Source organism: Homo sapiens, chromosome 13, assembly GCF_000001405.40.
Source record: "Homo sapiens chromosome 13, GRCh38.p14 Primary Assembly".
Lineage (NCBI taxonomy): Eukaryota > Metazoa > Chordata > Mammalia > Primates > Hominidae > Homo > Homo sapiens.
Window position 1 is genome coordinate 49,912,702 of NC_000013.11, and position 25,548 is coordinate 49,938,249.

A 25,548-nucleotide genomic window follows, 5' to 3' on the forward strand; every position below is an offset into this window, starting at 1 on the left:
TAACGATAGCAAACAGTAGTCACTTTAATTTGCTTTCCCAAGTAAGCACATTCTTTACAAATTAAAATTATGATAGAAAGCCAGACAAAATGCATAATACATACATAGTTAAATTTCATATACCTTCAGAGGTAGAATTTGGGATTTATGTAAATAAATGTTACTCAAGTATATCTATGTTTTCAAAGCATATTGTCACATTTTTGTCTGCAGAATAAACAATAAAAAAGGATTTTGCAGGATTCTCTGAGCCTATGGGTCAAAAATAGCCCATCATAAATCCTTAGAAAATTTACAGTAGGCAAATAATTCTCTACTGAATGGCAGTTCTCAAACTGATTTGGTGGGTCTGGTGTGGGTTCTGAGAGTGTCCATTTTTAACAAGTTCCAGTGATGCTGATGTTGCCGGTCTGAGAAGCATCATGAGAACCACTTTCTGGCTGGGTGTGGTGGCTTACGCCTATAATTCCAGCACTTTGGGAGGCTGAGGGAGGTGGATCATGAGGTCAGGAGTTTGAGACCAGCCTGGACAACATGGTGAAACCCCATCTCTACTAAAAATACAAAAATTACACGGGCGTGGTGGCGGGCACCTGTAGTCCCACCTACTCGGGAGGCTGAGGCAAGAGAATCGCTTAAACCTGGGAAGCAGAGGTTGCAGTGAGCCAAGATCGTGCCACTGCACTCTAGCCTGGGTGACAAGGTGAGACTCTGTCTCAAAAAAAAAACGAGAAAAAAAAAAAAAGAAAGAAAACCACTTTCCCTGATACTTTACCATCCAGGAAACTACACTTACTAAGTGCCTATGATTTTTATTTTATTTTATTTTAATTTTTTTTGAGACAGAGTCTCACTCTGTTGCCTAGGCTGGAGTGCAGTGGGGCAATCTCGGCTCACTGCAAGCGCCGTCTCCCGGGTTCAAGCCATTCTCCTGCCTCAGCCTCCAGAGTAGCTAGAACTACAGGCGCCCGCCACCACACCTGGCTAATTTTTTTTGTATTTTTTTAGTAGAGCCAGGGTTTCACCATGTTAGCCACGATGGTCTCGATCTCCTGACCTTGTGATCCTCCCGCCTCAGCCTCCCAAAGTGCTGGGATTACAGGTGTGAGCCACCGCGCCTGGCGCAAGTGCCTATGATTATTAAGGTGTTATATATGTATTACCTTATTTAATCATAGAATCTTATGTCAGTATGATTGCTCCTTTTATAAATGGGAATCTGAGACTTGGAGAGGAGAAAATAGGATGAGCAGCAAAACTACAATTTGGATCTCTTTCTAATTCTAACACTCATGTTTTCCTGAACAATGTACTGTTTCTAGTTGATAAAGGAGGGAAATGTATGCATCCTTGCCATGCTCATTTGAAAACAGACAACGTATCTAAAGATGTATAGAGTGATTGGTTCAGGTCACAGGGCGTTAACTAAAGGACAGTGATTCTTAAGAACCAGGCAAAGACTCAGGGTCATGAAGAGGATTCACTTATCTCTGAACTGAAATAATCACGGGTGATGTGAATTTAGTGTATAACTAACAAAATAGGAAGAATGTGTTTAATATAGTATGGTATATTCCTTAATTACAATTATTTTATTATTCCTTACAGAAAACATACAAATAAAAGTCCTTAAAAGAATAACCTCATTTAAATGTAAAGCATCATACTATTCTAGATGTCTGCCAGTGTATACTACATTACTAATCAACCACTACTTACTCTGAAATTGAGGTAACACAGCCTGAGGCAACAAAATGCTCTGACAATTACTGAAACGTTTATCTCCTTTCACAAAGCAAATCAAAAGCAATGACATTACACAACAAAATAAGCAATTTAAGTTTTAAGAAAAGCGGTACATGATACAGAAATAGACTGCCAAAAATGAAATTGCCAGTAATATAAATTTCTCTCACTTTGTTATATTGTATATAAAAAAGGACACTAAGCGGCAAAATTATCCAACTGTAGATGTCAAATATTTAATGAGGTCTAAACTTCAGAGTGACAAAAACACCCACCCAACTCTACATCTCTATCAAAACAAATATATTATGTAAGAAAGAATTCCCTTTAAATATATATGTATATATAGTCATGTTATACTGTTAATTAAACCCATAATTCTATTTATTTAAATAAGAATTAAATAAACTGCCCAAATGCTTATTTTCATTTCACAAAACATAAAGTATTTTAAATCACAACTTCAGGGTGGTATACTGAATACATTGGTTCCTTAGACAGCATCAACAAGCATATTTTTAAGAATATATTTTCATCTATAGGCCAGGTAAAGTTTTATTAAATGATGAACATTTTTTAACAGTGCAGAAATACAAGTTTTAAAAACAAATACATTCAGAAGATTTGCTGTTCAAATAATATTTTTTCAAAACCAGGTGGAGGCGTATGATAAAACTCACTGAACTGGCAATCCAAAATTGCACTGTCATCAACTAAAGGATACAAAAAGAAAGAAAATAAATTAGAAGCAAATACTTTAATTTCAATGAATACATAATTATAAAATAAAATAAACTGTCTCCATAATACTACAATATTAATAGGTAAGAAGAATAAATATATCTGCTGTCCCTGTTACAAAACATAATCCTATGGGTAAAAACAGCCACAACAAAAATCAAAATCTATCTGTCAAAAACATTGGAAGGATATATATAAAAATATTATTAGTAATTCTCTCAAGAGGATGTGAATATGGGTAATTTTTTTCTTATTTGCTTATCTGCATTTTCTCAATTTTATATAATTAAGACATATTACTTTTTAAAAAAATGTTTAACTTTGAAAAAGTATAGATTCACAGGAAGTTGCAAAAATGTTAAGAGTCCAGTGCACCCTTTGTACACTTTGCCCCAGTGGTAACATCTTACATGACTACAGCTCAACATCCAAACCAGGAAACTGACATTGGTACACTACTGTGAACTAGACTGCAGGCCTTACTCAGCTTCTAAATGTTTTTACCGGTATTTACTCAAGAGAAATGAATGTGTATATCCAAAGACATATTTTCAAACGTTCACAATAGCTTTATTTGTAATAGTCCCACACTGGAAACAACCCTAATGTCCATCAACTGGTGAAGGATAAAGAAATTGTGATATATCCACACAATGCTACACTTCTCAGCAATAAAAACTGATGAATTATTGATATATGCTACAGCATAAATGAATCTTCAAATAATTGTGCTGAGTGAAAGAAGCCAGACCAAAAGAAAAGACCATATGATTTTGTTAATATAATACTCTAGAAAATATGGGCTAATCTGTAGTGACAGAAAGCAGATCAGTGGTTGTTTGGTTGGGGCTGGGGTAGGGAGTGGTGAGTAGGATATAAGAGGCAGAAGGAAACCTTTGGGGTGGTGAATATGTTCATTACCTTGACCCTGGTGATGACAAAACAAAACATGACCGTAAAGCAAAGCAAGTAAATAATCAGCACTGCCACCCAATAGTGATTACTCCCCCTGGGTGAGGAATGCAGCTGTGGTGCGGGCTGCATCTGGGCCAAGAAAATGTTCTATTTCTTGATCTAAGTGGTAATAATGTGAGTGTTCACTTGATAGCTATTTGTTAAATTGCACATATAAGTTTAATGCACATTACTATATACTTTATATTTCAGCATAAATGCAGAAAAAAATGTAAATACTGGATTTGACATTCATGAAGTCACCAGTGATTTTAACAAGGGTGGTTTCAATTAGTGGTGTAATGGCAGCTGAATTGGGTTGCAGAACAAACGAACAATAACAATAAAGGTGTCAAATGCTCTACCCTTGAGCTAGTCAAGTAATCTATACAACAAACCCCCCACCGTGACACCAGTTTACCTGTGTAACAAACCTTCACATGTACCCCCGAACCTAAATGTTAAAAAAAAAAAAGAAAGAAAAACAATAAAGATGGCAGATATAGGTTATTCTAGAAGAAATGTGGCCATCCAGGGAAGGGGAAACACAGGACTAGTGAGGGATGCATGCCCAAAGAAGGGCGTTTGGGATGGGGCTTAGAATGTTTATAAGCACTGAAGAGGGAGGCCCATGACATGAGATATCGATGAAATAACTGACAAAGTGACGTTCCAGATTTGGGGAGTTTGGAATCCAGACTACAGATAGAGTGTTTGCAACATGCAGAGTACCACTTCTGGGATGAGATGGAAAGAAGGCAGGATTGGACCTGAAGAGAGGGAAGCTGGAGTTCACTTGTGATTGCCTGTTTTTTTTGTAAGGTAGAAGGCAAGGCATTTTCAGAGGATGAATAGAGAATGCAAGAAGCACAGAATGCATAGACATGCACAAAGAATTGCTGAAAATTATTGAGAGCTCAGATTAGGCTAGAAGTCATAACTTTGTTTTTTTTTGTTTTGTTTTGTTGTTTTCTTTTTTGAGACAGAGTCTCGCTCTGTCACCCAGGCTGGAGTGCAGTGGCATGATCTCGGCTCACTGCAAGCTCCGCCTCCCCGGTTCACGCTATTCTCTTGCCTCAGCCTCCCAAGTAGCTGGGACCACAGGCACCCGCCACCACACCCAGCTAATTTTTTGTATTTTTAGTAGAGACGGGGTTTCACCCTGTTAGCCAGGATGGTCTCAATCTCCTGACCTCGTGATCCGCCTGCCTCAGCCTCCCAAAGTGCTGGGATTACAGGCGTGAGCTACTGCGCCCAGCCAGGAAGTCGTAACTTTGTAACCACACTTCTTCAGTGTTATGCAGTCTTTTTCTTTCTACAGGCTGAGTGTAAGAAGAGACAAAATGAATGATTGGATTGATCAAGGATTAGGGATGGAAGACAAAAGAGTAAAGGGATTTAAGTTTTATGTTTATCTTTGATAGGATCAGGCTATTAAAACACTTGGTTTAATTGGACTGATTTATGAGTTCAATTTATGAAATATAATTTAGTATCTATAACCTTAGTACATTACAAATAATGCTGAATAAAAGAAACAGTTTAGAGCATTAAACTTATTTGCTACAGTTAACTTGTATAACTGTCACTCTACTGATATTTATTTTATTTCTCAGGCTAACCTATTTCAAATATCAAGCTAAATTTCCATTTACTCAAGTAAATAAAGGAATTGCTTTTAGGCTTACCCAATATGCAACACTAAATTGAGTTTTAAAACACACATTTACATGCAAGGACACAGAAGGTAAAATGACTGAAAAGTAATTTTAGGAGAAAAGAAGGCTAATGAAAACCTTAAACTAAAAGGTAATCACAAGCTTTGGCTATTATCATATTATTATTTATATTTGTTATTGTATAATTCTGACATCCCAGTTTGTCATCATTGATACTGCTATTTTTATTTTAGTATTTTAATTTTATTTTGCTTTTGAGACAGGGTCTTACTCTGGTGCCAAGGCTGGAGTGCAGCGGCACGATGATCACTGCTCACAGGAGACTTGACCTCCCCGGCTCAAGAGATCCTCTCAGCTCAGCCTCTCAAGTAGCTGGGACTACAGGCACGTACAACCACACCTGGATAATTTTAAAATTTTTTGTCGAGACGTGTTCTCACTATGTTGCTCAAGGCTGGTCTTCAACTCCTGGACTCGAGCAACTCTTACCTCAGCCTCCCAAAGTGCTGGGATTACAGGCATGAGTCATTGCACCAGTGCTGCTTTTATAGTAAACTACAACAAATGTAATTAAATTAGTTCTTTTTTTTTTTTTTCTTTTTTTTGAGATGGAGTCTTGCTCTGTCACCCAGGCTGGAGCACAGTGGTGTGATCTCGGCTCACTGCAACCTCTGCCTCCTGGGTTCAAGTGATTCTCCGCCTCACCCTCCTGAGTAGTTGCGATTACAGGTGTGTGCCACCACACACGGTTTCACCATGTTGGCCAGGCTAGTCTTGAACTCCAGACCTCAAGTGACCCACCTGTCTTGGCCTCCCAAACTGCTGGGATTACAGGCATGAGCCACCGTGCCTGGCCTAATTAGTTATTTTTCTTTCTTTTTTAATTTTATTTTATTTTATTTTTTTTTGTGGAGACTAAGTCTTGCTCTGTCGCCCAGGCTGGAGTGCAATGGCATGATCTCGGCTCACTGCAACCTCCATCTCCTGGGTTCAAGTGATTTTCCTGTCTCAGCCTCCCATGTAACTGGGATTACAGGAGTGCGCTACCACGTCTGGCTAATTTTTTGTATTTTTAGTAGAGATGGGGTTTCACCATGTTGGCCAGGCTGGTCTCAAACTCCTGACATCAAGTGATCCACCGGCTTCGGCCTCCCAAAGTGTTGGGATTATAGGTGTGAGCCACCACGCCAGTCCTAATTAGTTCTTATTATAACCCAAATTTAAGAACTTAAATGAGAAAATATTTTTAGACTTACAAAACCAAAGGCAGAAAAATCATATACCTGTTTACTTAAAGTTGATAATACAAAATAGGCTGGACACGGTGGCTCATGCCTATAATCTCAGCACTTTGGGAGGCCGAGGTGGGCAGATCACTTGAGCTCAGGAGTTCGAGATCAGCCTGGCCAACATGGTGAAACCCCATCTCTAGTAAAAATATAAAAGTTGGCCAGGTGCTCACACCTATAATCCCAGCACTTTGGAAGGCCGAGGCGGGCAGAACAGAAGGTCAAGAGATCAAGACCATCCTGGCCAACATGGTGAAACCCCATCTCTACTAAAAATACAAAAATTAGCTGGGTGTGGTGGTGCGTGCTTGTAGTCCCATCTACTCGGGAGGCTGAGGCAGGAGAATCGCTTGAACCTGGGAGGCGGAGGTTTCAGTGAGCCAAGATCGTGCCACTGCACTCCAGTCTGGCGATGGAATGAGACTCTGTCTCAAAAAAAACAAAACAATACAAAAAAACCCCAAAAGTTAGCTGGGTGTGGTGATACACACCTGTAATCCCAGCTACTCTGGAGGCTGAGGCACGAGAATATCTTGAACCCAGGAGGCGGAGGCAGCAGTGAGCCAAGATCACAACACTGCACTCCAGTCTGGGTGACAGAGTGAGACTCTGTCTCAAAAAAAAAAAAAAAAAAAAGTTGATAGTATAAAAAATAAAGCAGAATGGATTGATAAAGACATTGTGGTTATGTTTTTCTAAAAAAAAAAAAAGAAAGAGACCTTTTTTTCGAGATACAAATAAAACATTTATGAATAAAATTATATATTACCTGGCATTTGCCTCAAAATAACCCAAGGAGGGTAAGTGAAGAACAATAGCAGCATTGGGGGTGGGGGGGTGTAGATGAAACCCGATTGGTTACAAGTTGATAATTGTTTGAAGCTGGCTGATGGGTATATGAGGGTTTATTATACTATTCTTTTTACTTCTGTACATGTTTGGAATTTTCTATAATAAAAATTAAGGTAGGCCGGATGCAGTGGTTCATGCCTGTAATCCCAATAGTGGTGCACACTTGTAGTCCCAGCTACTGGGGTGGCTGAGGTGGGAGGATTGCTTGAACCCAGGAGTTTGAGGCTGCAGTGAGCTGTGATCGGGCCACTGCACTCCAGCCTGGGGGACACAGCAAGACTCTGTCGCAAAACAAAACAAAACAAAACAAAACAAAACAAAAAAACAAAAAATTAAAGTTAAAATTAAAATTCTAAGTCACTATTTCCCTCAGAAGAGCATTAACATTTAAGGAATTTTGTAAGGGTTATTAATGTACAGTCTACATAAAATTCCCATCTCTAATTCCAAAATATTATTTATAATTATGTTTCCTGGCCATGCAATCATTCCCAATGACTTGCAGAAAAAGTTTTCTAAATTCAGTAAAGCTTTTTGAAACTTTCTAAAACATAAAACTACATGTTGAAAAAGGGAGTACGGTTATTGCATATTTAAGTGTAATCATTGTATTTAGCAAGTTTATTTTAATACATGGGGAACAGAAACTATCCTTAATCCTGCAAAGTGGGATTGTAATATCCTACCGACTACAATCCATATAAAAAGGTCCTTATGGCTGGGCACGGTGACTTATACCTGTAATCCCAGCACTTTGGGAGGTTGAGGTGGGTGGATCATCTGAGGTCAGGAGTTTAAGACCAGCCTGGCCAACATGGTGAAACCCCATCTCTACTAAAAATACAAAAAGTAGCCAGGCGTGGTGGCAGGCACCTGTAATCCCAGTTACTCGGGAGGCTGAGGCAGGAGAATCGCTTGAACCCAGGAGGCGGAGGCTGCAGTGAGCTGAGATCGTGTCACTGCACTCCAGCCTGGGTGACAGAGTGACACTCCGTTTCAAACAATAAATAAATAAATAAAATAAAAAGGTCCTTATTAACAATGTGTCCAGATTTCTAGATGATAGCTATAAAAGTAACATACACGCTGATATGGTTTGGCTGTGTCCCCACCCAAATCTCGTCTTGAATTATAGTTCCCATTATCCCCATGTGTTGTGGAGGGACCCAGTGGGAGGTAATTGAATCATGGGGGTGGTTACACTCATGCTGTTCTTGTAAAAGTGAGTGAGTTTTCACAAGATCTGATGGTTTCATAAGGGGCTTTCCCCAACTTCGCTCAATCTTCTCCTTCCTATTGCCATGTGAAGAAGGATGTGTTTGCTTCCCCTTCCGCCATGATTGTAAGTTTCCTGAGGCCTCCCCAGCTCTGTGGAACTGTGAGTCAATTAAACCTCTTTCCTTTATAAATTACCAAGTCTTGGGTATGTCTTTATAGCAGCATGAAAACAGACTGATACACACACCAAACAAGTTAATATGTATGTAATAATACATTAGAAATATTTTTGCTTACCATAAACAACTGGATACACTGTCCCTCGTATACCTGATGCTGGACAATGCATGTTTTTTCCATTCAAGTATACATTTAATTCGACATGGTCATAAGTAATACCCTAGGAAGGAAAAAACAGAAACGTTCCATAAAAGCTGAGCCGTCAGAAAGCATTGACTGGGAAGTATGGAAACACAAAAAGCTAAGCATAGGCTGACAACAATTTTCATTAAGGGTTGACAATTTGGTAGAATCCTACTTGAACTGAGCTAAAAAAATGAGTAGTGATTATGAGGGGGGATAAAGTCAGGTAACATCCCAAGAGTCCACATTAGAGGTAAAACAAAGCCAACAGTTTAAATCCTAGAATTATATTTGTATAATCTGGATTTTATATTTTGAATGCTAAGATAATATAAGTACTACATACCATGAATAGAGAAACCTTTTACACTCATACAGAAAACGCTGCTCTTTCTCTACAGAATTTGATCTAAAGAAGGAAAAACAATGAGGTTTTTTTCACTGTCAGGACTTACTACCTGTCACTGTTTTCAAATTATGAAGAAACGTCTCTATACATTTTATTTCCAGGAAGAAATAACACATTTCTACATCTCTTTACTCTGGTTTCAAATGTGTCAAGTGTATTATCAAGGAAAAGCTGGTGTTCACAACTGAATAAAATTGGTAATTAGTTTCAAGTTAAAAAACAAAAATAGTAGCTCAAATGATTTAAAAAACAATGTAATAAAATTACTCGGTACACTATTGATGGAAAAAAATCACAATTAGTGATATTAATAATTATTGTTAAAATAATTATTTTATAATTATATAAATAAAATATTTATTTGTATAAATATAAATTATTTATATAAATAAATAAAAGGCTAGAAAAGACTTAGCCCATGTTATAAACCAATAGTGCTACTATTCTAGGCAGTTCATATTTACTCATTTAATCCTCACAACAAGACAGTATTACTATCCCCATTTTACAGATGAAGCTAAAGCACAGAAAGATTAAGTAATTTACCTAAGGTTGCACAGCTAGGAAGTGGAAAAGCTGTGATTTAAATCCATACAGTATGGTTTCAGAATCCTTGCTCTTAATCACAATACCTCTCTCTAAATCACCATGCCTCTCTTTAAACACTTGCTCTTAATCACCATATCTCTCTTTAAAACTTTATACAATAGCTACTAACTGATAACAAAAAGAGATCTTTCCCTTGAAAGACAGCAGAGATCTTTCAATAGAGAAGTCATCATAGACCAAGAAGCAAACCACTTCAAGGATTTCAGGATTTCTGACTGTGGATACATTCTATCAAGTTAAAAGCTTTTTAGAGGTAAAAAAAAAAAATTTTATAGATCATCTTAGTCTTAAATTCTCTCTCTTTACAAGCAAGACAGCAAAAGCCCAGAGAAGCTAATGTGGTAAGTGGTATGAAAGATTCTCAATTCTTAGCAAAGCCAGGGTTAACTTAAACAATTATTAATAATTAAGGAATACTGAGAAAGATAAATAGTACATAGATTGCCTTTGCTTCGCTTTAGTTTATGTCTTTAGATAATAGTAATAAAGCTAGCTGATGGCTGGGATTCACTTTTCTAATGAAAAAGTCTGTTTTCATTTTAAAAAACAAAAACTTAATTACATAAAAAAGAAAGTATGTTACTCTCATTATGGGACTACCAGAAATCTAGCAGTTCAGATCAGTGAGGTTGTAATCCAGGCACTTTCATCCCCCAGTGGCCGATTGCAAACAAACAAGTTTGTTTTTTGTTTTTTTTTTGAGACAGAGTCTCGTTCTGTCACCCAGGCTGTAGTGCAATGGCATGATCTTGGCTCACTGCAACCTCCACTTCCCAGGTTCAGGAGATTCTCCTGCCTTAGCCTCCCCAGTAGCTGGGATTACAGGCGCCCGCCACCATGCCTGGCTAATTTTTGCATTTTTAGTAGAGATGGGGTTTCACCATGTTGGCCAGGCTGGTCTTGAACTCCTGACCTCAAATGATCTGCCCGCCTCGGTCTCCCAAAATGCGGAGATTACAGGCGTTGGCCACCGCGCCCAGCCTCAAACAAGCAAGTTTTAAACCCAAGCCTGCAGTAGCAAAATCCCAGTACCAAAGAAGTGAGGAAAGATGTGAGAAGTCCCACCCTCAGTATAGTTTAGTTCAAGTATTTTCTTTCTTTTTTTTTTTGAGACTGGGTCTCACTCTGTCGCCCAGGCTGGAGCGCAGTGGCGCGACCTTGGCTCAGTGTGATACGCCCGCCTCAGCCTCCCGAAGTGCAGGGATTACAGGCATGTGCCACTGTGATGGGCCAGTTCAAGTGTTTTCTAACCTAATCTATTCTATGATGAAGAAACTGGGTTTGATTCTGCCAAAATGATAGCAAAATATACTGTGTGTTCTATGTCTTTATTAATAATTGTGTGCAGGTTAGTGAACAGATTCTGAAATTAGACTGCTTCAGGTATGATCTTGGTTTTTGTTTTTGTTTTTGAGACAAGGTCTTTTTTTTTTTTTTTGAGGCAGAGTTTCGTTCTTGTCGCCTAGGCTGGAGTGCAATGGCGCAATCTCGGCTCACTGCAACCTCCGCCTCCCAGGTTCAAGTGATTCTCCTGCCTCAGCCTCCCGAGTAGCTGGGATTACAGGCATGCACCACTACGCCTGGCTAATTTTTTGTATTTTTTTTAGTAGAGACGGGGTTTCTCCATGTTGGTCAGGCTGGTCTCGAACTCCTGACCTCAGGTGATCTGCCCACCTCGGCCTCCCAAAGTGCTGGGATTACAGGCGTGAGCCACCGCACCCGGCCAGAGACAAGGTCTTGCTCTGTGTGGCCCAGGTTGGGTGGAGTGCAGCGGCAGGATCACGGCTCACTGCCGCCTTTATCTCCCAGGCTGAAGCAGTTCTCCCACCTCAGCCTTCCAAGTAGCTAGAACTACAGGGGCATGCCACTATGCCCGGCTAATTTTCTTTTTAAATTTTATTTATTTATTTATTTGTTTGTTTGTTTGTAGAGATGGGGTCTCACTATGTTTCCCAGGCTGGTCTCAAATTCCTGAGCTCAAGGGATCCTTCTGCCTTGGCCTCTCAAAGTGCTAGGATTACAGGCATGAGCCATAGTATCTGGCTGAGCTATATAGTCTTGTAATTAACTCACATAAGAAGTTACTTAATTTCTCTTAATCTGTAAAATGGGGATAATAATACTACTACCGTACGGGCGTGGTGGCTCACACCTGTAATCTCAGCACTTTGGGAGGCCGAGGTGGGTAGATCACTTGAGGTCAGGAGTTCCAGACCAGCCTGGCCAAAATGGTGAAACCCTGTCTCTACTAAAAACACAAAAAAATTAGCTGGGAATGGTGGCAGGCACCTGTAATTGTAGCTACTCAGGAGGCTGAGGCAGGAGAACCGCTTGAACCCGGGAGGTGAAGGTTGCAGTAAGCCGAGACTGCATCATTGCACTTCAGCCTGGGCAACAAGAGCAAAACTCCATCTCAAAAAAAAAAAATAAATAAATAATAATAATAATAATAATAATAATAATAATACCTATTTCAAAGGGCCATTATGAGCATTAAACAATTTAATCCTTGCCAGGCACTTAGAGCAGTGCCCATAATAAATGCTTAGGTCTGGGCACGGTGGCTCATGCCTGTAATCCCATCACTTTGGGAGGCCAAGGTGGGTGGATCACGAGGTCAGGAGTTCGAGACCAGCCTGTCCAATATGGTGAAACCCCGTCTCTACTAAAAAATACAAAAATTAGCCAGGCGTGGTGGCACGCACTTGTAGTCCCAGCTACTAGAGAGGCTGAGACGGGAGAATCGCTTGAATCCAGGAGGTGGAGGTTGCAGTGAGCCGAGATGGCACCACTGCAATCCAGCCTGGGCAACAGAGTGAGACTCCATCTCAATAAATAAATGCTTAGAAGTGTTTGTTATTGTTATTATTACATAGAATGTTTATAAGACTTCTCTAAAAGTAAACTGATACATGCATGTTAGAATGAAATTTGTACTTTTCAGAATTATATGTATAAGGAGAAAGTAGGCCGGGCACGGTGGCTCACGCCTGTAATCCCAGCACTTTGGGAGGCCGAGGTGGGCAGATCATGAGGTCAGGAGTTGGAGACCATCCTGGCTAACACAGTGAAAACCCGTCTCTAGTAAAAAATGAAAAAAATTAGCCAGTCGTGGTGGCGGGCGCCTGTAGTCCCAGCTACTCAGGAGGCTGAGGCAGGAGTATGGCGTGAACCCAGGAGGTGTAGCTTGCAGTGAGCCAAGATAGCGCCACTGCACTCCAGCCTGGGTGACAGAGCGAGTGGCCATCTGAAAACAAAAAAAAAAAAAAGGAGAAAGTGAGCATAAACTGTTTCATGTATGTCTTTCTAGTTCTGTAGCAGGCCGTGCTGTACTGGGTGATTATCATATGAATATAATCATATAATCATTTGGTTAGATGTTCACAGCTTATTTTTCTTGATTTCTCCTCAGAGAATGGTACATGACTTAAATTCTAAACACATGAGAATGCTTTTCCTGTCTTATAATCCATTCTACTTATTGCATGCCACTGTTAACAATTTGGTAAAATTTGTTCTCCAGTGTTTGAACTAGTTAAAATAGCAGGGTAATGTTTTTCTTTTCTTGGCTCTGCATGTATTTCATAGTTTTAGTTCTCCTTTTATGAGAATGAGCTCATATGAAAACTCGAAGTCTAATTTAACAACACTGACAGACTAAAAGTGGCATTCTTCAGTCTGTCACACTGTGCTATCAGACATTACAATGAATGAAATGAGATAGGAAGGCAGGTAGAAGTTTCAGTTCATCAACAAAGAAAAACATTTGTTACTGATTATCCTTTCTTATGTTTGAATTTCATCTTTTAGGGTAAACAGGTTGACAGCATCAACTTGACTTCAAGATTCTCTTTCAAGAAATTACCATTTGAATAAGGATGTTCCATATTATGGGCATCTGGCAATGATCTACAAATACAGAACCAACTATTCAAAAAGCATGGGAAAAAGCAGATTTTTTTAATGGCTTATGCCTTTCATCTCCTTTTTTTCTTTAGTCAATTCTGGAAAAAAAACTTCCAACAATTAAAAACTTACAGTTGTTCATATTTTTTAAATTGCAAAAAAGAGAAGAAAGATCAGGCCGTAATTAAAAATCTTAATTTCCACACCTTTCTTCATTCTTTCTAAAATACTGTACCTTTTCATAATTAATTAACCTGGATTTCTCTTATCTTTTCATCTTATTAGAATCCTTCTCTCATTATTCATAGATTCCTTTCAACTTGATATCAGAATTGAGAACCCAAGGTTCAGTGTACAAGGGCACCTCGGCTGAAGGAGACTCTAGGACTCTGTTCTAAATCAATGGCCTGACCTCTGGATAGGGAGGGGTTTTGGATAATGCAGTGTGGAAGGAAGTATCTGGAAAAGACAGAAAGAAATCTTTGGATTACATTTTCAATGTGCTAGCTTTGTAAAGAGTTAAATATAGCCAGTTAGGAGTAAAAACAGAAAAGTCTTAATAACGTGTAACTTTTACTATCCTCTGCTTTCTAAAAAAAAAACTTTTCTACGATCAAGCTTTAGGATTTTGAGTTCCGTTCTCTGAAGAGTTTAATTAGGTTAAGTTTAATGAAGATGAACATTTCTGATAAAATGCTGTAATTCTCTTAATAGAATTTCATAACAAATTAAGAAATACATGTGTGGCTAGGCGCGGTGGCTCATGCCTGTAATCCCAGCACTTTGGGAGGCCGAGGCAGGTGGATCACTTGAGGTCAGGAGTTCGAGATCAGCCTGGCCAACATGGCGAAACCCCGTCTCTACTAAAAATAAAAAAAATCAGCCAGGCCTGGTGGTGTGCGCCTGTAATCCTAGCTACTCGGGAGGCTGAGGCCGGAGAATAGCTTGAACCTGGGAGGCAGAGGTTGCAGTGAGCCAAGATCATGCCACTGCACTACAGCCTAGGTGACAGAGCGAGACTCTAAGAAAAAAAAAAAAAACAAGAAGAAGAAATAAATGTGAACATTTTCCCTAAGAGATATCCAGCCTTAAAAATAACTAGTATTTTCTAATATAAGCTTCAGCAAACTTTTAGAATTGTGGGCCAAGTTTTCTCTAATGTGAGAGAAACAGGAATGTGTGATCAGCAGACAGCCTGTCATTAATTCTCCAGAGTAGAAATAAGGGTTCACACTGATTTTCCCAGCCAGTGGCAGCTCTAAAAAGGAGGGGGCAGTTGAGTAGGGTGCAACATCTACACCAAGTGCTCTCCTGGAAAATGCACCATCTCATTAGATCCAATCCCACTGCTTTGGAATTCAAACCACAAACTCCCAGACAAAGCTGTAGATACTAAAAGCAGTTCAAATTTAGTCATTTACAGTGGAAAGCAACTCCATGAGGGAACTCACCACCACATCTCCTTCCTGCGGAAGACTGTTTGCTGGCAGCCTATTTTTCTCTTCATTGTTGTGGTAAAGGGCTCCATCATTTCTCATCACCAGACTGTGCATATCTCGGCCAAGAGGAATCTGATTCAAGTTAACCTTCTGAGTTGCAACACCAATACCCCAGATTCCTAAAAATATAACAGTTTAAATGCCCTCAAAATCTGAAGACTACAACCATCGAGTTATTTTAAAAGGGAGTATAAACTTTTTAAAGGAAGTGCTGTATTAACACTAAATTGTTTTCTATTACTCTTTTTAAAAAATCTTCTTTTAGAAGTAGTTTGCACCAGCCTGGGCAACATGCCCAAACCCCGTCTCTACAAAAAATACAAAAATTAGTTGGGCATGGGAGCATGTGCCTGTAACCCCAGCTACTCAGGAGGCTGAGGTGGGAGGATTGTTGGAGCCAGGGAAGTTGAGGTTGCAGTGATCCATGATCATTCCACTGCACTCCAGCCTGAGCGACAAAGCCAGACCCTGTCTCAATAAATAAAATAAAATAAAAGTAGTTTGCAAACTATACTATGTTCTCCACAGATGTAGTACAGCCTAGGAGATAAGAGAGTGGGCCCTGGAACAGTGCAAATGAGGATTAAATCTTGACTCTGCTACATCATCTTGCGCAAATTACCTAACCTCTCTTTGTTCCCTTATCTGTGAACTGAGGATTCTAACAGTACTCACCTTGCAAGGTAATGAAAAGATACAACAAGATAATCCAAGTAAAGCACTTGAACAGTGTAAGTACTCCACAGCATGAGAAAGTAAAGCACACAGTAAGTATTCAGAAAATGCTAGCTGTCATCATCATCATTATTATTATCTCAAAAAGATTTTTTAAAAGCTACACATTGAATTTAAATGGCCTGGAGTTCAATTTCAAGCTCTCCCTTTGAAAAGTGGGAATGTACTGTCTTCAGTTTTTACATCTACAATGAGTGACAAACAATATATACCATAAGCAATATCATGGAGAGGAGAAATTAACAATAAGGTGTAAAATCATTTTCTTACCCAGTATTTTAAGCCACCACACCCAGCTAATTTTTCTTTTCTTTGTAGAGATGGGGTTGTGCTATGTTTGCCCAGGCTGGTCTCAAACTCCTGGCCTTGAGCAACCCTCCTGCCTCAGTCTCCCAAAGCGCTGGAATTACAGGTGTAAGCCACCATGCCCCATTGAAAATCATTATTTAAAACTAATTTAGAGCTAGGCACGGTGGCTTGAGCCTGTAGTTTCAGCTACTGGGAAGGCTGCGGCAGGAGTACTGCTTCAGCCTAGAAGCTCAAGGCTGCACTGAGCTATAATCATGCCACTGCACTCCAGCCTGGGTGACAGAGCAAGACCCCATCTATAAATAAATAAATAAGTAAAAATAATTTAGAAAATAAGCCCTAGGGGGAAATTTTATATCATTCAAGGCTGGCCAAGTAATAGTAAGATTCATTTACTCCACTCTCATTTTCCTATTCTCTACCCACATTACTGATGCAGTATTTCACTAGAAGTTTATTTACAATAAAGCTTGTTTTGTTTTTGTTTTTGTATTTGTTTTTTTGAGACAGAGTCTTGTACTGTTGCCCAGGCTGGAGCGCAGTGGCACGATCTCGGCTCACTGTAACCTCTTCTTCCTGGGTTCAAGCGATTCTCCTGCCTCAGCCTCCCGAGTAGCTGGGATTACAGGCGCCCACCACCACGCCTGACTAATTTTTTGTACTTTTAGTAGAAACGGGGTTTCACTATGTTGACCAGGCTGGTCTCAAATGCCTGACCTCGTGATCCACCCCCTCGGCCTCCCAAAGTGCTGGGTTACAGGCGTGAGCCACCACGCCCAGCCACTTTTTTTTTTTTTGAGACGGAGTCTCACTCTGTTGCCCAGGCTGCAGTGCAGTGGCATAATCTCAGCTCACTGCAGCCTCTGTCTTCCGGGTTCAGGCAATTCTCCTGCCTTAGCCTCCCGAGTAACTGGGACTACAGGTGCCCACCACGATGCCTGGATGATTTTTGTATCTTTAGTAGAGATGGGGTTTCGCCATGTTGGCCAGGCTGGTCTTGAACTCCTGACCTCAGGTGATCTGCCCACCTCGGCCTCCCAAAGTGTTGGGATTACAGGTGTGAGCCACTATGCCCGATCACTTTACAGTAAAGCTTTTATTTTAAAAGTTTTCCCATATACAATACAGGCACAGTTAACTAACCTATTATAATCACATAGAATTGCTTTACAGTTCAAGAAACTCCATAAATTTTAAAAAGAGAAATATAGACTGCAGACTTCTATCTGAATTCTGAATTTGATGACTGCTTCAAAACACTGAATCAGGGTATCTTAATAACTGAGTTAAGAGAAAAACTCTGGCTCATGCCTGTAATCCCAACACTTTGGGAGGCCGACGAGGGCAGATCACAAGATCAGGAGTTTGAGATCAGCCTGACCAACATGGTGAAACCTCTGTCTCTACTGAAAATATAAAAATTAGCTGGGCATGGTGGTGCATGCCTGTAATCCCAGCTACTCAAGAGGCTGAGGCAAGAGAATTGCTTGAACCCGGGAGGCGGAGGTTGCCGTGAGTCAAGACCGCGCCACTGCACTCCAGCCTGGGTGACAGAGCAAGACTCCATCTCAAAAAAGAAAAAAAAAAAGAAAAACTCAGAATCAACAGATTGACTTTAATCCTAAAATAAATAGCAAGAGTATATGCTGCTTATATGTTTGACCTTATATGCTTGACCAAACAAGAGGGTTCATCCGGATCCCATTAAAAATACTAGTGCCTTATATTTATGCAGCATGTCTTGTCTTAAAACACTTTCATACATAGAGTTCCTGTGAGGCAGAATGGGCAGCTCCTGTAATACCCATTTTATAGATGAGAAAACTGAACCTAATTTAACTAAATTAACTAATTTACCCAGGATCACACAACAAGAGGTGGAAGACCCAGATCTTCTAAGAGTTTGGTGCTTTTATATTACCTTCTGAATCTTTTTTATGTGTTACAAATTACTCTTAATATTTAGAACAATTAGGACTTTTAATAGTAAAGTACCATTATACCAACCTGTGGACTGGATTTTGAATTCAAAATAGCTTTTGTTTTGATGTAAAGGTGCGCTGGCTAAACAACCTCCTGTTCCACATATTCTTCTTCCATTCTTTACAATAACAACATCTGTTCCTAAACAAAAAATGCAGACACTATGTAAAGTTTTGTATTTTCTTTTCTTTTCTTTTCTTTTTTGAGACGGAGTCTTGCTCTGTCACCCAGGCTGGAGTGCAGTGGCACGGTCTTGGCTCACTGCAACCTCTGCCTCCTGGGTTCAAGTGATTCTCCTGCCTCAGCCTCCCGAGTAGCTGGGACTACAGGTGTGCACCACCACACCTGGCTAAATTTTTATATTTTTAGTAGAGATGGGGGTTTCACCATATTGGTCAGGCTGGTCTTGAATTCCTGACCTCGTGATCCGCCCACCTTGGCCTCCCAAAGTTCTGGGATTACAGGCGTGAAGCACCGCGCCTGGCCAAGTTTTCTATTTTCAATCCAACAATCAGGATTAATTTGTTCAGTTCTAACTCAGTCCACAAAAAATAGGGACACTGTAAGTACTTTGAAATATAGCTGAATTATTTTAAATATTTAATTCACTATTTTTTCCTAAGAGAACATTTATAAGTAATATTCATTTGTATGTATAAGTTTTAATTAAGCATGCTGGGTACAGTGGTTCGTACCTGTAATCCCAGCACTTTGGGAGGCCGAGGTGGGCAGACTGCTTGAGTGCAGGAAGTCGAGACCAGCCTGGGCAACCTTGCAAAACCCCATCTCTATAAAAAATACAAAAATTAGCTGGTGTGGTGGCACAAGCCTGTAGTCCCAGCTACTTGGGAGGCCGAGGTGGGAGGATCACTTGAGCCTGGGAGGCAGAGGTTGCAGTGAACTGAGATTGCACCACTGCACTCTAGCCTGGGCGAGAGAAGTAAGTTTTAATTAAGCAGTTTCAAGTAAACTGCAATAACTCTGAATTATATTGAACGTTCAAAACACTTTTAAGGTAGAAATAGACTAACTCTTTTAATTTTTAGCCAGGAAACCAATTTGATGATTTCATAAATTTCTTAATTTAAACCAAAACATAAACACAAGAGACTTTAGTAAATTGGTAGTTTTCAATTCTATTCAAATGAATTAAAACAATTTACTAAAAGCCACCTGAATGCCTACTAAATACAAGCTACTATACTTGTGCATTAGTCATGTAAGAACTGAAGAGTACAGGGAATATGAAAAAGAACACACATCTATGTTGAAATACCTGACAGTGACAAACTGCTAACTTTAGGATCTTAAAATGTTTATTAAGATAGCTACTTCAATCACATTGCAAATATGTAAACAAGGTTTTAACATTCTTACATGCACTTTATTCTCGTAGAAAATTTTTTAGATGAAACGACATCTATAGATGAGAGTGAGAAAGAGAGACACTGTCTCCTGATGTGATCCTAGTACCAATTTGATTTAGGAAAATGTCTATCAGAGAATATACATAATTCTAACATGTAAGAATACACAGAATTACATAATTCTAATATGTAAGAAATAGCCCATACACCAATGCATAACTCCCCATACTTGTGGCCACTACCACCACTTTGCTGGCAATAACTGTACCAGCCAAGCAGATCTGAATATTCGAACTGTATGGGACTCTTCCAGAAGGGGTTAAATAAAATTAGGTCATAGTAACAAAAGGTTGAATTAACAGTTAAACAAAATTATTTGGTACAAATACATAAAAGAAATGCAAAATTTTCAGATTCTAACACAATTCTAAACTGGTTAAGAGATGCTCTCCCTTAAACAAGGCAAAACTGAGATCCTATTGTATGATTACTAAAAATTCATTAACATCTTTTTTTTTCTAATTAAAAAAGTTAACCCCCAAATTCTGGGAAAGTACCTTTATAAATAATTTGCATCTGGCTACTCCATATACCTCCAGTAATTTCAACTGGAGAGCATCCTCCTTGATGGCAAAGACCATGCAGTGCTTGGCATTGAGCAGCTGCTCATCAAATAACTGATAAAGGTTGAATTAATATGCTGTGCTAAGCACTTTGTAGTGGACATGCAGTATCTGTTCTCCCTCTCCCGACAGACTTCCCTCTGGAGATCAAAACAGTTCCAAGAAAGCTGACTCAATCTCTGCTTCAGGTGTACAACATTTGATCTAGGTTAAGGCAATCAGTGCCCTCCACATTTCTTGGCCACAGTAACTGAGTCAAGAACTGCTACATGACCTAATCAACTACAATCAGAATCTCAGGACTTTTGCAGAGCACAATGGGATATAACACTCTTGGCCAGGCGAGGTGGCTAACACCTGTAATCCCAGCTCTTTGGGAGGCTGAGGCAGGCAGATTACTTGAGGTCAGGAGTTCAAGACCAGCCTGGCCAACATGGTGAAACCCCCATCTCTACTAAAAATACAAAAATTAGCCAGGCATGGTGGTGGGCGCCTATAGTCCCAGCTACTCAGGAGGCTGAGACAGGAGAATTAATTGAACCCAGGAGGCGGAGGTTGCAGTGAGCTGAGATCAGGCCACTGCACTCCAGCCTGGGCGACAGAGCGAGATTCCCTCTCAAAAAAAAAAAAAAGAAAAAAAAAGAAAGAAAGAATATTCAGGGTGTTTATGAGTCATTAGGGAATCATTTTAAGCTTATCCCATTTCTCTTAAGTACACAGACGGTTTTAGAATCTGTACTTTTAATGATTGGTGCTGCTTAGACGGTCAAGGCAAATTTGAGTACAGCCAGAATGCCACATAAACATAGCCACAGAGGATGTTTTAAGAAACATAAATTTCCAAATGAGCGGTGTCCCTTTCAAAGTAGCTGCCTTGGAAGTCATTTGTTTCTAAAATGTCGATTCACAATTAAAAGCCAAAGATATGGCATCAATGATAATACTTACAAAAATTATGCCATAGAAAATTCCAAAAGAGGAATTCCAAAGTGGTTTTAAGTAATACAACATCACTAAAATAAGTGACAACCCTCGGAGAATCACTTGAAGTATACAGACAATTTTGTTAAAAAAAAAAAAGCAATCACATTTTTTAGGTTATTTAATATAATAATCTTTCACACCACCAAATCCATGTGTTTCTATTTTCAAGTCAAGATCAATTCATGCTTGAAACATGTTCTTCTAACTCAACAACCCTTTTCTTTCATTTTATTCAGGTTCTCAAATCAGGCTCCTCTGTGATTGAATAATTTAAGTTTATAGAAAGACAGGCTAAGAAAAAACTTCCTGGCCGGGCGTGGTGGCTCACCCCTATAATCCCAGCACTTTGGGAGGCTGAGAGGCAGGCAGATCACGAGGTCAGTTCGAGACCAGCCTGACCAACATGGTGAAACTCTGTCTCTACTAAAAATACAAAAATTAGCCGGGCTTGATGGTGGGCGCCTGTAATCCCAGCTACTCAAGAGGCTGAGGCAGAAGAATTGCTTGAACCCGGGAGGCGGAGGTTGCAGTGAGTGGAGATTGTGCCACAGCACTCCAGCCTGGGCAACAATAGTGAAACTCCGTCTCAAAAAAAAAAAAAAAAAAAAAAGAAAAGAAGAAGAAAAAACTTCCATGCAGTTAGAAAATTTGGAGATGACATTACTCTATTTCATCCAGTTAGTAGCTGACAGTTGCTGGACAGCTTTGGAGAAATAAAACACAGTGGAATGAGTATATCTGACCAGCTCTTCCTAGAGGAAACAGATGACAGAGAAAAGGAATGCTCCAAAGAGGAGACTGCAGTAATTCAAGAGTCTAACAGTAAAGATAGGAAGAAGTGCTGCAGTTGATCATGAGTTCCAGGAATTATGTATGGTTGTCCTTCACTATATTCTCAGCACTTATAACAATGCCTGCCACCTGATAATTGCTTAATAAATATCACTTCAGTAAATGAGTAACTGAAATGGAAATATTTTCTGAGGAAAACTATAGAATTTGAACTCCATCGTCTATAAATAATGATGGATAAAAAATAATTTAAAGATTACTTATGTATTAAGGTTCTGTACTACATTTGGGAGATCTGAGAATTAAAAGTAAATACACACATACAAGGTGATTATATAGTTATCACATTTAGTATGTGTTATACAAAAATACAGTGGGCAGAGTGTTTCCAGAATTATAAGGAAACTGGGCGAGAGAGTTTTATCATAAATATTAAGAAGTGCCTTTTTATTTCAATGCACTGTCCTTTAAACAATCAGAAACGTGTAAAAAATCAAAAGTGCAGAAGTACAGTTAGAATAAAATAATCCACAAAAAGACAGTACTCTAACTGAAATAATTATATTGGGAAATCTCTCCTTCTAGAACCACATTCCAGAAGCATGAAACTACCTGGGAAAAGTCTAAGAAATAATAAGGTGGTGAAAGAGGCTATGATGGGAGAGGAAGAATGTTAGATAAATTATATGGATTTGGAATTAAAAGGATAAAGCAAGATGCAAAGGAGCAAAGTGCTATTTTATTTTTCAACAGTTAGACCTGTTGGGAAGAGGCCAGTCAGATGAAATTACAGTACCTCTCACAATGACTAAGGAGTCGGGCAATGGGAGGTTTTAGTTGAAATGGCAAGTTCTGACCTGAGGTGCGACTTCAGACTTCTGCAGTCTGCCTTGTTTCGACTTTAGGAGGTGAGAGGAAAATTACTTCCAATAATATAGGATTCAACCTATAAATGATGGGGCTCAAGAGACAGGACCGACAGTCAGGGCAGGAGGAGGAGCAAGACCGGACCTAGAAGCATTCTGAAAATGTGTAGGTTTTCACTGGGGCGCGCCAGAAGGGCACTCTCCGCCCCCTCGCCCGAGGACGTGTGACATCTCCGGAGGAAGCCTCCGAGATTCCTGTGAAAATGGGAGGTCCACACGCCCATTCGCGATGACAGACACAGAGAGGGCTGCGCAGCCTTGAACACAGAACCGGGCCCAGGTGGAGTCCGCCGGCTTCTGGAGAGATCTGCGAGACGAAATGGTGTCGGCGCAGCGTCGCCGGCGCGGCGGGGCAGCGTGGGGACCCTCTGACCCTGAAGGTCCCCCTGCCCGCCGCGCCCGGCCCCCGTGAGCCGTTGGGTCTGGGGAAGGGAGGGCCCTTACCCATGTGCTGCGTGTCCAGCTGCACGGCCGGCATCTCCTTCAGAGGGATGTGGCCAGTCCCCCCGTCTCTGCAGCACCGCAGGCAGCACAACACCGAGGTGGCCATCGCGCAGGGACCACCGACTCCGCCGCCGTCCCTAGACCGAGGCGACACTGCCCCCCGCCGCTCAGCTCCGTCTCCTGCCCCCGCCCGAGGTCCGGACTTGTCTATGTGGAGCTCGGAGGCCGGTACAGCGACACCCTAGGCCGGGAGGGCGCAATGCAGGCTGAGCTTAGGCTGGCCTGCGAGGAAGACGCGGAGAATCAAGGGGCCGGGGAGAGACCGGACAGGGCGAGCGGCCGGGCTGGGCCGGGGAGACGGGTGGGGCTAGTGGCGCGCGGAGGCGTGGCAGGGGGCGTGGCGTTGCGGGCCTGCGGATGTGGGACGGCGTGCGCCTGCGCACCAGCTGGTTTTTTCTCCTTGGGCGGTTTCGCGCACGCCCCCAGGGCTGACAGGTGAGTGGGGCTGTCTGTCCCTCAGTACTTCCAGGGGTTTTCCTATGCAGAATTTTTAAAACGCAGCACCCCTTGGTCCCGGCCTCGACATTATTTCTAGGGATGGATTGACAGAAGCGAATCAGTTTGGGGGAAGGGGAGCTAATGGAAATGACTTCCGAGTTTTCCCTCCGCGGGCCCAGGTTGAGCAGGCTTTGCCACCACGGAGAGCCCCAGTCTCCCTGCCGTGGCTGGTTTCCCTCACATGCTAAATAGACTCACGTGGGCCCCAGGAGTAATGCCTGTTAGTGACTGCACTGTGGATGTTCACCGGGGCTCACGCGGGCCCTAATGCATTTTCGGTGCAGAGACGCGCCCTACCTGGCCCATCGGGCTGCGTGGTCCGGGGCGCGTGGGAGGCCGCCCTGGGAGCAGAACGCTGGGGCGGGGTCGGGGGCGATTCTTGACCTGCCTCTTCCAAGCTCCCCCTGTCTGGTGCACTGAGGGTTCCGAGGAATGTGACGGGAACCCAGGAGGCTGCGGGAAGTCTGCTGGGTCCCGAGGGAAGCCTTCGGCTCCTACCGTCCGCTACTTTCTGCTTCCACACGGGAGGCTGTCACCTGTCATCTCCTTCCCCACTTAGATCATCCTTCCGTGGTAGATTTTACATCTTCAGGCCGGGTGCAGTGGCTCACGCCTGTAATCCCAGCACTTTGGGAGGCTGAGGTGGGCGGATCACCTGAGGTCAGGAGTTCAAGACCAGGATGGCCAACATGGTGAAACCCCGTCTCTACTAAAAATACAAAAATTAGCTGGGTGCGGTGGTGCACGCCTGTAATCCCAGCCACTCAGGAGGTTGTGGCACGAGAATCGCTTAAACCCGGGAGGCGGAGGTTACAGTGAGCCTAGATCGCGCCACTGCCCTCCAGCCTGGGCAACAGAGACTCTGTCTCCAAAAAAAAAAAAAAAAAAAAAAAGATACCGCTTGGCATCTGGAAATGTCTGGGACGACCTCTAGAATTAACCTAGCTCAAACCTCTGTTCCCAGATCAGTTTCATCCTGAAGGCTTCCCTAGGGATGGATCATCAAGTCCTGGGAAACTGGACATAAAATGCCCACTACTTAAATAATGATTTCCCATACGTAACTTTTAGTGACCCGAGTTATAAATGTTTTTTAAGGAGGATTTCTATCTATGCAATGAGGGGAATTTTTCAGGTTCCTGGTTCTCTTTCTATAAATGGTGTTTTCATTACAATACTAAGGGAAAGTTTTGTACGTTGAAATTAAGTTACCATAGAATTTAATAACCAAGGTGATTATTAAACTGATTGAGGGTTGGTCTTTTCCCCCATTGCGTATGCAGTACTTTCTTGGTAATCATTTCACACAAGAAATTTTCTTTTATGACAAACCTTCATCGTTATGCTGGGAATTAAGTGCTTTGATTTTTTTTTTTTTTTTTTTTTTTAACCCCAGGGAAGTGCTGGGGGCGGGGCAGGGGGTGAGAATTTTAACAGAATATTGGAGAGACAAAATTTTTCTACCGTTCATATATATATATCTAGTTGAATTATTTCAAGATTTCAAGGTCAGTATTGTCCCCATTTTATAGGTGAAGAAATAGGCCTAGAGGTACTAAACT

At 41.0% G+C, this 25,548-nt stretch overlaps 1 protein-coding gene across 5 annotated transcripts, besides 3 other annotated features; it reads right to left on the minus strand.

Annotated features, from left to right (window-relative positions):
* Positions 1–23,639, minus strand: SPRYD7 (SPRY domain containing 7). Of its 5 annotated transcripts, XR_007063693.1 has the most exons (6): positions 23,429–23,639; positions 18,317–18,433; positions 15,218–15,384; positions 8,777–8,879; positions 5,392–5,520; positions 2,276–4,763 (listed from the first exon to the last, which is right to left on the minus strand). XR_007063693.1 is itself a non-coding variant. In NM_020456.4 (5 exons), exons 1-5 carry the CDS (start codon positions 23,532–23,534, stop codon positions 2,362–2,364), a joined length of 591 nt encoding a protein of 196 aa, NP_065189.1. In that variant the 5' UTR covers positions 23,535–23,639; the 3' UTR covers positions 1–2,361. The 5 variants fall into 5 exon arrangements, 2 of the variants coding, with proteins under 2 accessions (NP_065189.1, NP_001120954.1); NM_020456.4 differs by lacking the exon at positions 5,392–5,520 and having other exon boundaries at positions 1–2,459; XR_007063694.1 differs by lacking the exon at positions 18,317–18,433 and having other exon boundaries at positions 3,036–4,763.
* Positions 23,450–23,699: an enhancer, noted in NCBI's record as "active region_7755". NCBI's record gives its function as "activates an Ori minimal core promoter by ATAC-STARR-seq in GM12878 lymphoblastoid cells {active_cell/tissue: GM12878}" and the evidence as "EXISTENCE:reporter gene assay evidence [ECO:0000049][PMID:35858748]".
* Positions 23,740–23,989: a silencer, noted in NCBI's record as "silent region_5349". NCBI's record gives its function as "represses an Ori minimal core promoter by ATAC-STARR-seq in GM12878 lymphoblastoid cells {active_cell/tissue: GM12878}" and the evidence as "EXISTENCE:reporter gene assay evidence [ECO:0000049][PMID:35858748]".
* Positions 24,570–24,619: an enhancer, noted in NCBI's record as "active region_7756". NCBI's record gives its function as "activates an Ori minimal core promoter by ATAC-STARR-seq in GM12878 lymphoblastoid cells {active_cell/tissue: GM12878}" and the evidence as "EXISTENCE:reporter gene assay evidence [ECO:0000049][PMID:35858748]".

What these genes read in the sequence shown, in the direction of transcription:
- SPRYD7 (NM_020456.4), bottom strand. Translation starts at nt 23,534, where the DNA reads ATGGCCACCTCGGTGTTGTGCTGCCTGCGGTGCTGCAGAGACGGGGGG. An exon ending in CGCAGGAAGGAGATGTGGTG is followed by an intron (nt 8,880 to 15,217) that starts GTGAGTTCCCTC and finishes TTTCCTTCCTAG; the next exon opens with GGTATTACTTATGACCATGT. An exon ending in AGTGTATCCAGTTGTTTATG is followed by an intron (nt 2,460 to 8,776) that starts GTAAGCAAAAAT and finishes TGTATCCTTTAG; the next exon opens with TTGATGACAGTGCAATTTTG.